The sequence below is a fragment of the Homo sapiens genome, chromosome 22, assembly GCF_000001405.40.
Source record: "Homo sapiens chromosome 22, GRCh38.p14 Primary Assembly".
NCBI classification, from domain to species: Eukaryota; Metazoa; Chordata; class Mammalia; order Primates; family Hominidae; genus Homo; species Homo sapiens.
In genome coordinates this window covers 19,116,610-19,129,914 of record NC_000022.11, presented here as the reverse complement: position 1 = coordinate 19,129,914, position 13,305 = coordinate 19,116,610, and the positions used below count along the sequence as shown (strand labels likewise).

Genomic DNA, 13,305 nt, shown 5'->3' with positions numbered 1-13,305 from the left:
AGAAGAGAGGGCTTTTTCTGAAAGTGACTGGAAGTAGGAGGGAAGTGAAGGAGTCTCGGCTTTTTCTCTAAGCGGCAGCCTGCCCCTGCAGGTGCAAGACAGGAGGAGGGCCGTCCCAGTTGTGTTTTAAGATGGTCAGTGGCAGAGAGAGAGAGACAGAAAGAGTAGAATTGGCTTTGAGGTGAGAGTGGGGGCCAGTGCCTTTGACCAAATGAGAAGAGGCTGGGCCAGGGTGGGCCTCAGGATCAGCAGGAGACAGAGAAGGTCAGGTCTTAGTCTTGTTTGCTAGACTGTGAGTGGATGGGCCTTGGTGCTGGGGAATCCTGGGGCTGAGAGCGCCCAGGCCATGCACTGCAAAGACCAGGCACCTGGGTGAGGAGGGGGTTCTGAATCACATCAGTTTGGGCCTTTGTGTGGAGTGAGCAGCAGTCGCCTGTTGGAACCCTGACATTGGGTAGCATTTACGTCTCGGGCTGCCTTTTGCACCTGCAGTGTGAACATCCTGTTTCAGTGCTGGTGTGTGGATTTGTGCTTTGGGAAATGTGGCATCCTGTACATGTCTCCTCAGGTGCGTTGGACTGATGTTCATTTGTCATCCATCACAGGCATCCTGGATTCACAGGGAGCAGCTGGGACAGATGAGCTGTGTGTTCAGTGTTTAGGGGAGAGGGAGGAAGGCCTGTTCCCAGGTGGGGTTTAGTCCTGGAAGGTTTCAAAGAGGAAGTGATGTTGGAGCTGGGGTGCTGGGGATCAGCAGACTCCACAGGGTTGACAAGAGGGGCAGGACATGTCAGACAGATGTGACATCTTGGCCCTGGCATGGCTGTGTGGACCCACTCCATCTGGAGTACACAGGGAGCACCCTGTGTTTGGAGGTCACTAGGGAGGATTGCAGAAACAGGGCAGCCAAAGTCAGGATGCTAAGCTGAGAGGCTCAGATGGGCAGGGTGGGCCGACGTGCCTACAGTGACTGCCTTCCAGCAGTGACAGCCTCCCAGAGTCCCACCCGAAGCTCTTTATAGCATCGGTGGTTAATAGCTTTAGTTTGATGCTTTCCTTTTTCCTGGGAGCCTCTACGGCTGAAATGACCAACACTTCACTCCTTTTTGTCCTAGAAGGGGCTGGCTATGAAAATTTGCAGGCCAGGACCCAGGAGCATGAGACCTCCCACTTACCACCCCCTGACCCTTTCCTTTGCTCCCCCAAATGCCCTATCTGGGACACTTCTCTGCATATCTGCTTCCTCCCCTCCCCTCCCCTCCCCTCCCCTCCCCTCCCCTTCCTTTTCGATGGAGTCATGCTCTGGCACCATGTCGGCTCACTGCAACCTCCACCTCCCAGGTTCAAGCAATTCTCATGCCTCAGCCTCTCGAGCAGCTGGAATTACAGGCAAGCACCACAACGCCCAGCTAATTTTTGTATTTTTAGGAGAGATGGGATTTCACCATGTTGCCCAGGTTGGTCTCGAACTCCTGGCCTCAAGTGATCTGCCTGCTTCGGCCTCCCAAAGTGCTGGGATTACAGGCATGAGCCACCGTGCCCTGGCTGCATATCTGCCTTCTTCCCAGACTCTACCAATGCCTTCTCCCTCTTTTTGTGCATTCTACTTCTTCACCTCCTGAGGGTCTCTCTGGTTCTTGGGGGACATGCCAGAAGAGGCAGGTGTCAACATTGCAGAGGCAGAACTGCCCGGGCATGGAGCGGGCCGCTTCATCCAGGATGCACACACAGGGCCGGCACTCCTGGTATGTTTGACAGAGAGCTTTGGATTCGACTTGGAGACCTCCAGCGTTGCTCCTAGGGTTGCAGTCCTGTGAGCAAGGTACCTGCACACTCTGAGAAATCCACTTCTCTCTGAACCTTCCTATCCTTTATAAAGTAGACACCTTTTTACCTATTTGTCCCCCAAGCACTGAGGGTCTGCCCTGGATGCCGAGGTACACTGATGAGCTAGACCACCCATGCCGTCCTGGAGCCCAGAGGCGAGGGAGGCTCAATCACACCAAGTGTGTGTGCGCGATGGTGGCTGTGCCACGCATCAGAACCATGGTGCTGTGAGGACAGGGAACTGGGGATTGGACTTTGGGAAGCTGGGGAAGGCTGAGGTCTGAGGAACTAGCCAGGTGGAGAGGGATGAGGATAGCTATTACATGTGACGGTTTGAAGGGATGTGGCTTGGCAGGAGCACGGACAGGCCATGGAGGGCCCTGTTGAGGTCCTGGTCCTAGCACCTTTGAGAATCCTTGAAGGGGTCTGAGCCAGGGCTGAGCCACCTACAGGAGTCGCCCGGCATGGCGAGGCCACCTGTGGAGGCGTCACCTGGGACTCCTGCCCTGGGCAGTGTGATCTCAGACAGGTGGCCCACTCCCTCTGAGCTGTTTCCAGCTGTAAAGCTCAGAGCAGGAACTCCTCCTGCAGCCCCTCCCACCCGGGCTTACCTGGCTGAGCTACAGTGAGGCTCCCAGACCTGCTTGCCAGCCACTGCCCTGAGGACCAGCGCAGGTCCGTGGGGATAATTGAGGAGGAGGCCCCAAGAGCCATTTCTCAGGATGTCCCACCCGGGCCCCCATCCCAGCACTCTGGGCTCCCTCTCCACCATGAGTTTCTTGGTGGGAAAAATAGGGTGGCTCCTTGAGGCCTGTTGGCAGAGTACACAGTGGCAGGCTGCTGAGAACCCCTAGAAGGCTTTATGGAGGCCTCAGCCTCTCAGCTGAGCCTGGAGAGCTGGACAGAGTCTGCAGGGGCGAGTTCCCTGTATGATTATGGGCCGTGTGTGTGATGGGGGCGCAGTGGTGAGGCCTGGTGCCCAGAGGCCAGGGGAGGATGCACTGGGCCACAGGAGGACCCCAGAGGCCAGGGTAGGTTCCTCCCCACTGGGCAGTGGGAGCCAGGCTGGTGGGGGATGGCTCTGGACACTGTCGGAGGTGGTGGGAGGGTTGGGGTGGAGGCCTGAAATTAAACCACGTGGAAGGGGGCTGTGAGAACATGAGGAGGCAGGTGGACTTGGGGAAGAGCGCAAGGAGGGCCAGTCCAGGCTCTCACTAGACCCTACTTCTCCAAGGGGACTGAGGTTGGGGTCTTCCCGAGGTAGAGAAGTGACCATAGGTAGACTGTGGACAGTGATCATCGATGTTGCTGGCAGTGGAGCTCCTCTGCTCTGACATTCTCTGTGTCCAGCACCTGCTTCAGGCCCCGCCCTGGGGGAGTGGGAGTCGCATGACAGTCCTAGCCTTGGGTTTGACTTTGGCCCCATCCACTTAGAGGCCATGGGAGAGGTAATTCTGAAAGCGCTTGTCCTTTGTGGTTGCCTGTCGTATCCTACTTGCCAGTGTCAACTTCTAATGCAGGGGTGTCGTCCCTTGGGACAGGCTGGGACGGGGACAACAAGATGTGGTCAAGACCACACAAGACTGTGGGACATGCTCAGGCTGGAGTGTGGCTGGGCCATCCAGCAGAGCCTCCTATTTCTCCCGGGCTAGAGAATGACCACAGGGTGCGGCGACCCCGGCACTGTTGAAAGCTGGGTGCTGGCTGGACACAGGGGGCCTCTGATGGACAGAGCACAATGAACGAGTTGCCCAGCAGGGTAGGGAGCTCAGGAGTGGCTGAGAGGCTGGCCACCTGCCCTCTGCAGCCTCCCACAACCCCCACTGGCAGCCTTGTGGGGCTGGAGAGGTCTGCCCAGACCCTCAGTCCCAACTGCAGATAAAGCCTGCGCTCCTCTACAGGGGTACCTCGGCATGCTTCTTGGTCCTGTCCTCTCCCTGCCCTTTCCCGACCCCAGCACCGCACTTGGGGGCGTCCCTTCTGAGGCAGCGGCTTCCTCACTCACCTTTCAGCTCTGGCCCCTGCCCCTCCAGGTCTCTCCCAGCCCCAGCCCAAGCCCCAGCCCCAGCCTGGGCCTGAGGTCATGGTCTGGACTGGGCACGTTGGGATGTGTTTTCCCAAGCAAACGAGGAATCATTGCACAATCTGAGTGGGAAACCAGTGGAGGGGAGCCCAGGACTAGTCAGTTGAGGCAAAGACATTCACTTTGGCATCTGCATTAATATAGTGATTTATTGCTCCTTTAGCAATGTCGGTTATGAAGTTCAAGGGGAGAGAGAAGAAATTGATGAAAACAGCGGCTCATCCGGGACCGTCTTCCTTCTCTGGTTTGTGCCTTGACTTCTTCAGAGCTTGGGCCTGAAGGCGTGAGCTCCATCTCATTCGCCGCTGGCACACTGGGCCACAAACGGCTCACTAGGTGCGCATCTCTGGAGGCTGCTGGGGGGCCCTTCCTCTTTCTCCCTGGTCGACGGCTTGCTGGGGAAGCCTAGGATGTCCGACTGCCTGGACATTTGCATTGCCAACCCCTCAGGTTTTGTCTCAGGCTGTCCCTCGGGCTGTGTCTGTTCCCCAGGCTCCAGCTTGGTGGCAGACCTCTTGGCAGAGCCAGGTTCAGGGGTCCACAAGAGTTCAGTTCCCTGGGAGCTTTCCCCCTCCTTGTTGAAGACCATAGAGGGCAGTCCCTGTGCCTTGGGCTGCACCCAGCATTGGCTGAGGGTGTCATGGATGTGCAGCCGCTGGCTGACGTCGGGCTGCAGCATGCAGTAGATGAGGTCCTTGCACTCGTCTGTCAGGTTCTTGGAGTGTGGGAAGTCCACGCGGTGCTCCTTCTGGATACGCAGCATCTTCCTGATGTTGGAGTCGTAAGGCATGGAGCTGCAGACCATGATGTAGAGGATCATGCCCAGGCTCCAGATGTCATACACCATGGGCTGGTAGGGGATGCCCTGCAGCAGCTCGGGGGCTGCATATGCCACCAACCCGCAGAAGTTCTTGCTTAATCTCTGTTGGCCACTGTCATCCCGCAGGCAGAGCTTGGAGAACCTGAAGTAGAACAGCTTGATGTTGAAGTCCTTGTCGAGGAGAAGGTTCTAACACTTGAGGTTCTGGTGCATGATGTCCAGGTCGTGGCAGTATTTAATGGCTGAGGAGAGTTGGTGGAACATCTTGCACGCCATGTCCTTGGGCAGGGCTCCCTGGCACTCAATGAACTAGTTTTTTTTCTGCCCCTGGCTGGGCTCCCAGGGCAGATCTGGGGCTGGGGGCTAAAGGCGGGGACTGGATGCCACCCTGAGCACTGGTGGCTGCTCTGAGGACAGTACAAGCAGCAGGGGCAGCACTGGAGAGTGTGGCCATTGTTTTTTCTGGCAGTGGAGCCCCTCTGCTGTGCCAGGCTCTGTGTCCAGCACTTGTTCCGGGCTATGCCCTAGGGGAGTAGGAGTCACATGACTATCCTAGCCTTGGATTTGACTTTGGCCTCATCCACCTAGAGGGAGTGAGCACCCCTTTCTCACAGGAGCCAAGTGGAACCCTGGGCCCCTCAGGATGACTTGGTAGGGCGGGCTGGTTGTCACTCATGTTGGGTTGGGTCCCCACCTGCCGTGGCCCTTCCCCCTTTTCTCTGCTCCTTCACCTTCTTCCCTAACGCTGACTGCCCACTGCCAGGCCTTTGTGCATTCTTGGTTCTCCTCCTTCCAGACAGCCTCCTTCTCCTTCCCGCTGGGGACACCCCAACTACTGTCTCCTGGAAACCAAAAATAAAACTCTAACCCCCCAGCCATCTGAATGGACCCCTCCTCTCCACCAAGGGCATTCCAAACTTAACCTGAAAAACTATTTCAGGCCGTGATAGGAAGTGGGAGTCAGGCCTCATTATCCCTCCTCCCTTCAGGTTTCAGGCACAGCTAAGCAGTGTAACATCGACACAGAGACTTGAAGACTGACAACAGACTCTGTGGCAGTAAGATACCAGCATGACAGCAGGCCCGGAAGGAAACACATATTTTACTGCAAAACAGGTTTCTTTCACATATTTTGAAGTCGCTCTGCAAAGCTGTTTTTTGTGGGGAAAATCTACATTCTGTAGAGAATCCCTATCCCTTTCAAGGTCTTTTCTCCTGAGAGAATTAACTAGAGTCTGGCACCTTTTATTTATTTTTCCTTTTTTTTTTCCTTTTTTTTTTTTTTTTTTTTGAGACAGAGTCTTACTCTGTTGCCCAGGCTGGAGTGCAGTGGCATGATCTTGGCTCACTGCAACCTCTGCCTCCCCGGTTCAAGCGATTCTCCTGCCATCAGCCTCCTGAGTAGCTGGGATTACAGGCGTGTGCCACCACGCCTGGGTAACTTTTGTATTTTTAGTAGAGATGTGGTTTCACCATGTTGGCCAGGCTGATCTTGAACTCCTGACCTCAGGTGATCCGCCCGCCTTGGCCTCCCAAAGTGCTGGGATGACAGGCGTGAGCCACCACACCCGGCAGAGTCTGGCACTTTTTAATAAGAAACATTAACAGTCTTTTCTCTGTGAAGCCTGATACCTGGAGGCTTCATTTGCCTAAGAAACTTGGTCTCCACAACCCCTTAATGTAGACAGTCCCTTTTATTGATTCCAGGTCTTTAGATAAACTCTTTGAACCAACTGCCAATCCGCATGACCTAGAAGCCCCCCTCCACCCCCCACTTTCAAGTTGTCCCGCCTTTTCCGACTGAACCAATGTATATCTTACATGTGCTGATTGATGTCTTGTCTCCCTAAAATGTATAAAACCAAGCTGTGGCCCTACCCCCTTGGGCACTTGTCAGGATCTCCTGGGGCTGTGTCCCAGGCTATTGGTCACATATTGGCTCAGAAGAAATGTCTTCAAATATTTTACAGAGTTGGACTCTTCGCCGACACTGCCCTCCAAGGTTCACCCTGTTGGTGATGACGGGAGAAGTGGCACTTGGAGCACTGTTCGCAGGGGCGCTGAGCCTCCTCTCTGCCTAGCTTTCTTTCCTGCACATGTGGCCTTCCCCTAGCCATTGTGTAGGCAGGTCCTCCAGGGAGCCGGCTTCGCTGCAGTCTCCAGGACCTGGCCTTCCCGGTCTCTCTTTGCCTGACACTCTCTTAGGCCATTCCTGTTCCTCTTTCCCCACCCTCAGAACCGGCAGGCCCTCCCTCCTCCACAGCGGTTCGGCCTTAAAAAGACCCCTTTGGGGCGCACTTTTGGGCTGCTCACGGGACCTGAGCTTGCAGGTGTGAAGACCCTTGGAGTCCCAGCCAGGTTCCCACTTCGTTCTCTCCGCTCCCCACCCGCGCGACCCCTCGGCGCCCCGCCCCATGCCCCGCGCCTTTCGATGTCCATCCTTGCCGTCCCGCGCCCGCCGTCCCTAACCGGCGTCCAGAGACCCTACTCCCTTCGGTGGCCCCGCCGCTCAGGCCCCGGCCCCGGCCCTGCCTCTCTGCTTAACCAATGGCACGCCTCACTCCGTATGGTCCCGCCCTTCCCTTAGAGCCCGCCCCTCAGTCCCCGCCCTTAGGTCCCCGCCCTCCGCCGTCGCGACCTTAGGCCTCACCCTCTTCGGAGGGCTTTGGCTCTGGCCCCGCCCCCCATCTTGACGGTCATTGGCCCGCGCCTGCGTCGCGGGCGGGAGGCGGGGCGGGGCGGCGCGGCGCGGAGCCGAGCAGGACGGCCGCCATCTTGCGCGCAGCTGGAGTCGGTGCCTGAGGTTGCAGCCGAGAGTGTGCGCCAGCCCGCGGCCCAGCCGAAGCTCTTTCCCGCCGCCTCTCCGCGCCTCGCCCAGGTTCAGCTCCGCCTGACCCTCCGCTTGGCACGGTCCCCTGACCCTCAGTCCGGCCTGGTCCGGCCTTCCAGCCGCCCCGGGGACGATGAACGGAGGATAAATGGTGCCCAAGGCAGACAGCGGCGCCTTCCTGCTGCTCTTCCTGCTCGTGCTCACTGTCACCGAGCCGCTGCGGCCAGGTGCGCCGCGCGATGGGGGCGGTGTGGGGGCTGGGCGGCGAGCGGGGCCGGGGTCGCCCCGGGACCTCCTTTCACCCGCGGCGCCCTCCTGCAGGGGCCGCGCCTGGGGCAGGGGCGGGCGGGGCCTGGCTCGCGGGCCGCCTGGCACTCTCTGCGGACGCCTGCTGGAGCTTACCTGGGCTCGCGGCGCCTCGGACTTCGTGCAGCTCTGCTGTCCAGGATGTTGCCTCTGGGCCCTTCCCGGGAGCGGCGGCGGCCAGGAGCTACGCCACGGGCGCACCCTCTCGCCAGTCCAGCGTCGGAGTCGGGCTGGGGACAGTGGCTCTCAGGGGCACCTGGTTTCACAGACGTCCTCCCAGCAGTGGCCTAGTGCCAGCCTCTCAGTCCTGGAAACTCCTCGCCTGGACAGCGGTGGTTGTGGCTGTCATTCAGTGAGACGTTGCGCTAAGGAAGTCCTCAGGTCCCACCGGGCCTAGAGGAGGCACCAGGAGTCAGCCTAGCGTTGTGTGGCCGGCGCGAGCGTCCCGGGAGCAGAGACCTCGCCACTGTGCGGGGCCCTTAGCCGTGCTGCGTGTATGTGATGAATGAGTCCGTGCTTTGGAACTCCCCTCGGAGCTAGTGTGTTCTTAAGTCTGTGGTGGGGAATCAGAACCGTGGCAACCAGGAGACCCTTTTCTACCTATTTCGGTGTACCTCCCCTTGAACTGCACCAAAAAATCAAACTCCCTAAATGCAGGGCCGATGTATCCATCAGGCACAGGAATCCTGGTATCACTTGCCCACGGTACTTTTAGTAGCCTTCGAATGTTATTTTATTTTTTTTTAAAGTCAGCAGAAAAAAAATGAACTTTTAGGTCAAATAAAATGTTTTCGTATGTATATTAATACAGTCATCTTTATACTAATACAGTGAAAAAGCATGACTCTTAATATTTCTTAATGGAGGAAAGGTCCCATGAAGGCAGAAGTGCCAGGGCCATCTTCTCTGATGACCTGGGTGTGGGAGCACGGGGTGTGTGGCCCTCTCCTGTGCCCTAGCCAGGCTCCCAGCCCAGATACACCGCACCTCTTGGCTCTGCGCTTGTGTCATCTATGTGGAATGTCTGCCTCCTCCCTAGTGCCTGCCTGGTGGCCAAGGCCCTGACCGGTGCTCAACCTGGACAGATTCAGTGATGCTTCTCTGGTCTCCCCATGTAGAGCTAGTTGCTCACTGCTTTTGGCTGCTCTCTGGGCAGCGGGATGACTAGTTGTGGGGTGGCCTTGGTAAGAACAGAAGCCAGGAAAAGGGCTACCTGTGGAGGAGGGTATCATATAGGCTCTTGGAGGTCAGAACCAATGGGTTTGTGGATTCTTGTGATTAACTTCTTTAGAAAACATATATGTACGTGTAGAGAGGTAGAAGGTCACCGTTTTCTGATTCTTGAGTCCCAGTTTTGCAGATGAGGTCACCGGGCTCAGGTGAGGCCATATTATGCCTGGCTTCTTTGGGGTGCCTCTGGTTCCAGGCCCAGCATCTCCTGCCTGGGTGATAGAGGTGACTGACGTCCCCGACTCCTTTTTCCTTGCCAGCCTTTTCACATAGCCTGCCAACTGGCCAGCAGCAACTGAGAAAGTGCCTGTGGGTGCTTGCCCCCTGCCCATCCCTAGGGAATCCAAGTGACAAGAACAAGCCCCTCCTTTTAGGAGTGCCTGATGTGGAACAGAGGCCAGGTGTAAGTCACTTGTCACACTCCTGTGTGTTGAATACCCTGGAGTGTGGGGTCCCAGAGGTGGGTGGAGGTGGCCATCTTTTTGTACCTGTGAAGCAGTGAGGGCGTCACAGGAGACCTCACACTGAGGTCGGAGTAGGGCATGGGTGGGGTGGATCTGGTAGAGGGAGCAAACTTATTCTTTCGATTCCATGACTCTCCAGATGAGAACATTGCAGCTACCCCTGGAGGCGTCTTGAGTTGCCCTGCAGAACCCGGGAGCTGCAGCTGGCTTCCTGGCTTTGGCTGGGCAGGGAGGGCAGGCCTCTGGGCCTGATGTGTTCCTTGTATGCCCGTGTGTGCCTCTTCACACATTCACCATGTGTCCTTCCTGAGAGTGCTGCAGGGATCTGCCTGGCTGGTGCTTGCAAGAGGCTGGGGCTTCTCTGGTCTTAGTCTGCGTTCTTTCTGTGGGGATTCCGGCCTTAAAAGCATACTTGAGTATGAGGAAGGTATCAGTCAGAGCCCACTTCTCAGGAGGGTGTTTTCTGACTCCTGCCTGGTGGGGTCCCTGAAGATGATGCCAAGCCACCTGGGCTTCCTCTCTGGTACAGGGCAGGGTGGAAGGCCTTTCATGGAGTTATGGGGCAGCAAGTGCTTGCTGTACTTGACCTTTCACCAATTTTTTTTTTTTTTTTTTTTTTGAGACAGAGTCCTGCTCTGTTGCTCAGGCTGGAGTGCAGTAGCGTGATCTTGGCCCACTGCAACCTCCACCTCCTTGGTTCAAGCGATTCTCCTGCCTCAGCCTCCCGAGTAGCTGGGATTACAGGCATACGCCTCCACGCTCGGCTAATTTTTGTATTTTTAGTAGAGATGGGGTTTTGCCATGTTGGCCGGGCTGGTCTGGAACTCCTGACCTCTGGTGAGCCACCTGCCTTGGCCTCCCAAAGTGCTGGAATTACAGGCCTGAGGTACCATGCCCAGCAATTTTTTTTTAAGTGCACATTTGAACTTGATTTAAGATGTGTCATGTGCCGGACACTGTTCTAAGCACTAACATATGTTAACTCTCAAGAGGTCCCTGCTAGATGCTGTTTTTAGCCTCATTTAAAGATGGGGAAGCTGAAATCCAGAGCACTCATGAAGCTAAGGCTGAGATGAGATTTCATCGTAGGAGTCTGGCCTTCCCCCCATCATGCACCCGTGACTGGGGTCTGTGCACTCCAACTGTGTGTCTCCAGCCCAGCCACAGGAGTACCTCATATTATGCTCTGAACAGCTTCCTTAACCCCAGGTGGAGCCACAGACTGCCTCTGTCCCCTGTTAGGTCCCAGGGTCCTCTAGGTGAGGGTGCAGAATCTTTTTCCATGTGGATACTCCAGTCTGAGGGACAGAACCACTCACCCTCTGCCAAATCCCTTCTGTGTTTGGCCATGTGACCACTGATGATGTGTGTTATGATCACTGGGGGTGTGATGAGGAAGAACGGTTGGAGACTACTGCTGAGGTAACTGACAGCGAGATGGTGGGGGGATTTGGGGACCACTGATTGTGATACTGTCTCATTGGCCCTTTCTCCATCTGTGTAGAGAAGGCAGCATCGACTGCTGATTCTAAAACTGTTTTTCTTTCTAGCTTTAATTGTGAAACAAAATTATATCATGAGCCACAGCTCTATCCAGGTTGAACCCACCATACATAGCTGAGAAAAAATTGCCTTCTGAATGCTGGTGCACCCTGGTCCCTTCCTGCTGGTTGTTGGTCCTGTACAGGGCCTGTGCTCAGCTAGGCCCCTTGGTAAGGTAGAGGACTAGAAGGTCGTCTTCCTTCTATTGTTGGTACAGCTAGCTGGGAGAGGCAAGTGACTTGTCTAAGGTCACACAGCTGGTGAGCAGCAGAGCGTGGGTTCAGACCCAGGTGGAGCTGGCTGCTAGCTCAGGGTTCTTTCTCTTTTGCTTTCAGTAGGCAGCTGTGCTGAGCTGATCACATCTCAGGGAGCTGAGAAGTGAACACAGCACCTTGGCTCTGGAGTCCAGAGTTGTTTTTTTTTTTTTTTTTTTTTTTTGTTTGCGATGGAGTTTCTGTCTGTCACCCAGGCTGGAGTGCAGTTGCGGGATCTCAGCTCACTGTAACCTCCACCTCCTGGGTTCAAGTAATTCTCCTGTGTCAGCCTCCAGAGTAACTTTGATTACGGCGCACGCCACCATGCTGGGATAATTTTGTATTTTTAGTAGAGACGGGGTTTCACCATGTTGGCCATGTAGGCTGGTCTCAAACTCCTGGGCTCAAGTGATCCACCTGCTTTGGCCTCCCAAAGTTACGGGATTGCAGGTGTGAGCCACCTCTCCCCGGCTGGAGTCCAGAGTTTTCTTTCATGTGAAGTAGCACAGGGGTTTGGTGCATAGGGAGAGAGTGCATATTTTCATCACAAGGAAAAGTGACCGAGGTTCAGAAGTAGCTGGAGAGGTGAGCTTGCACCTAGCCTTGCCAAATCCTCCTGAGTTTGGAGTGCTTTCCTCTGTAGCCAGTACTGTGACACTTTGTAGAGTTTGTCCACTGGTAGATTTGGCTTTTGGGTTAACAGGTTCATTTTTTTTAGTTGGAAAGTGATGTAATATACTTTCTACCTTCACTAGCTAATGAATTTTCCTTTTTTTTCTTGACAAAAAGAAAACTTTTATTTGGAAATAATTTCAAACTCCCGGAAAAGTTGCAAGAGTAAAGTGAGTGCAGAGAACACCTGCATATCCTTTGCTGAGGCTTCCCTACTGTTGGCATTTTACCTTATTTGCCTTATCCCTCATCTTCCATGTGTATGTGCATATCTGTGTACTCACACACATTGCTTTTTTCTGAACCATTTGAGAATAAGTTGTATGCGCCATGGCCGTTTATCCTTGTACATGTTAACCATTGCAGAGAGTAGAGGCTGCTCCCACTTAACCCCACCCCATCGTTCTCACTAACACCTGCTATGTGCCAAGCCCTGTGTCACGTGGGAAGGTCTCATGGGTGCAGGAAGCCCTGTAGTTAAAGCCCAGGTTGGCCCAGGTGGAGGCAAGCTGGCATCACTGCATGTCAGGGTTATTGTTTTAGTTGGCGGTTCTGGGTTTAGGAATGAAGACTGCTGTTGTGGAAGATTTGTGCTGTGTTAGGCTGCGCCTTCGCTGCTCCACTTCCCAAGCTAGCTTGTGGGCACTTTCCCCACCCCTTCCTTCCCACTTCCCAGAGTACTGAGTGATTATATCCTCTTAGCAGCGGTGGCCGGTGATTTGTTTGTGCAGGTGTCCTTCTAGCAGTGACGGCAGGTAATCTTGTTACGCACAGATCCTCTTAGCAGTAATGGGAGGTGAGTGATCTGTGTGTGTCCTCTTAGCAGTAAGGGCAGGTGATCTAGCTGTGCACGTGTCCTCTTAGCCATGGTGGGAGGTGATCTGGTTGTGCAGGTGTCCTCTTAGCAGTGATGGGAGGTGATGGGAGGTGATCTCATTATGCATGTTTCCTCTTAGCAGTAGTGGCAGGTGATCCGGTTGTGTGCATGTCCTCTCAGCAGTGATGACAGGTGATCTAGTAGTGCATGCATCCTCTCAACACTGATGGCAGGTGATCTAGTTATTGACTCTCTCCTGCTGGACCTGAGCCTTTGACAGGCAGGGAGTTCCTCTGCCTCTCTTGGTTGTTGGCATAAGGACGACCCGATTGGCATTTAGTAGTTTCTTGACTCTAAGTGGAATGCATCAGTGACAACATTTAAGGACCCCGTAGATAGCTCTTGACTGATTAGATGTCTTTTCCTTGGTATGCTATTAGATTTTCTCTTATGTGCTGTT

General features: G+C 55.0%; 1 protein-coding gene and 1 pseudogene across 5 annotated transcripts in view, besides 3 other annotated features; one reads left to right on the top strand and one right to left on the bottom strand.

Moving 5' to 3' along the window:
* Positions 4,028-5,041, bottom strand: TSSK1A (testis specific serine kinase 1A (pseudogene); annotated as a pseudogene).
* Positions 7,179-7,618: a silencer, noted in NCBI's record as "silent region_13454". NCBI's record gives its function as "represses an Ori minimal core promoter by ATAC-STARR-seq in GM12878 lymphoblastoid cells {active_cell/tissue: GM12878}" and the evidence as "EXISTENCE:reporter gene assay evidence [ECO:0000049][PMID:35858748]".
* Positions 7,503-13,305, top strand: part of DGCR2 (DiGeorge syndrome critical region gene 2) — an 86,127-nt gene continuing 80,324 nt past the window's right edge. For all 5 annotated transcript variants that reach the window (NR_033674.2, NM_001173534.2, NM_001173533.2 and 2 more), the window contains exon 1: positions 7,503-7,787. Coding sequence is in view for 4 of the 5 variants with exons in the window: in NM_001173534.2 (NP_001167005.1) it covers positions 7,709-7,787 (79 nt within the window). In the remaining variant the exon portion in view is untranslated. The remainder of the gene's footprint in view (positions 7,788-13,305) is intronic.
* Positions 7,643-8,144: an enhancer, noted in NCBI's record as "H3K27ac hESC enhancer chr22:19109284-19109785 (GRCh37/hg19 assembly coordinates)". NCBI's record gives its function as "activates a minimal SCP1, AML or CMV promoter by ChIP-STARR-seq in naive H9 embryonic stem cells {active_cell/tissue: H9 hESC(naive)}" and the evidence as "EXISTENCE:reporter gene assay evidence [ECO:0000049][PMID:30033119]".
* Positions 7,739-7,858: a silencer, noted in NCBI's record as "silent region_13453". NCBI's record gives its function as "represses an Ori minimal core promoter by ATAC-STARR-seq in GM12878 lymphoblastoid cells {active_cell/tissue: GM12878}" and the evidence as "EXISTENCE:reporter gene assay evidence [ECO:0000049][PMID:35858748]".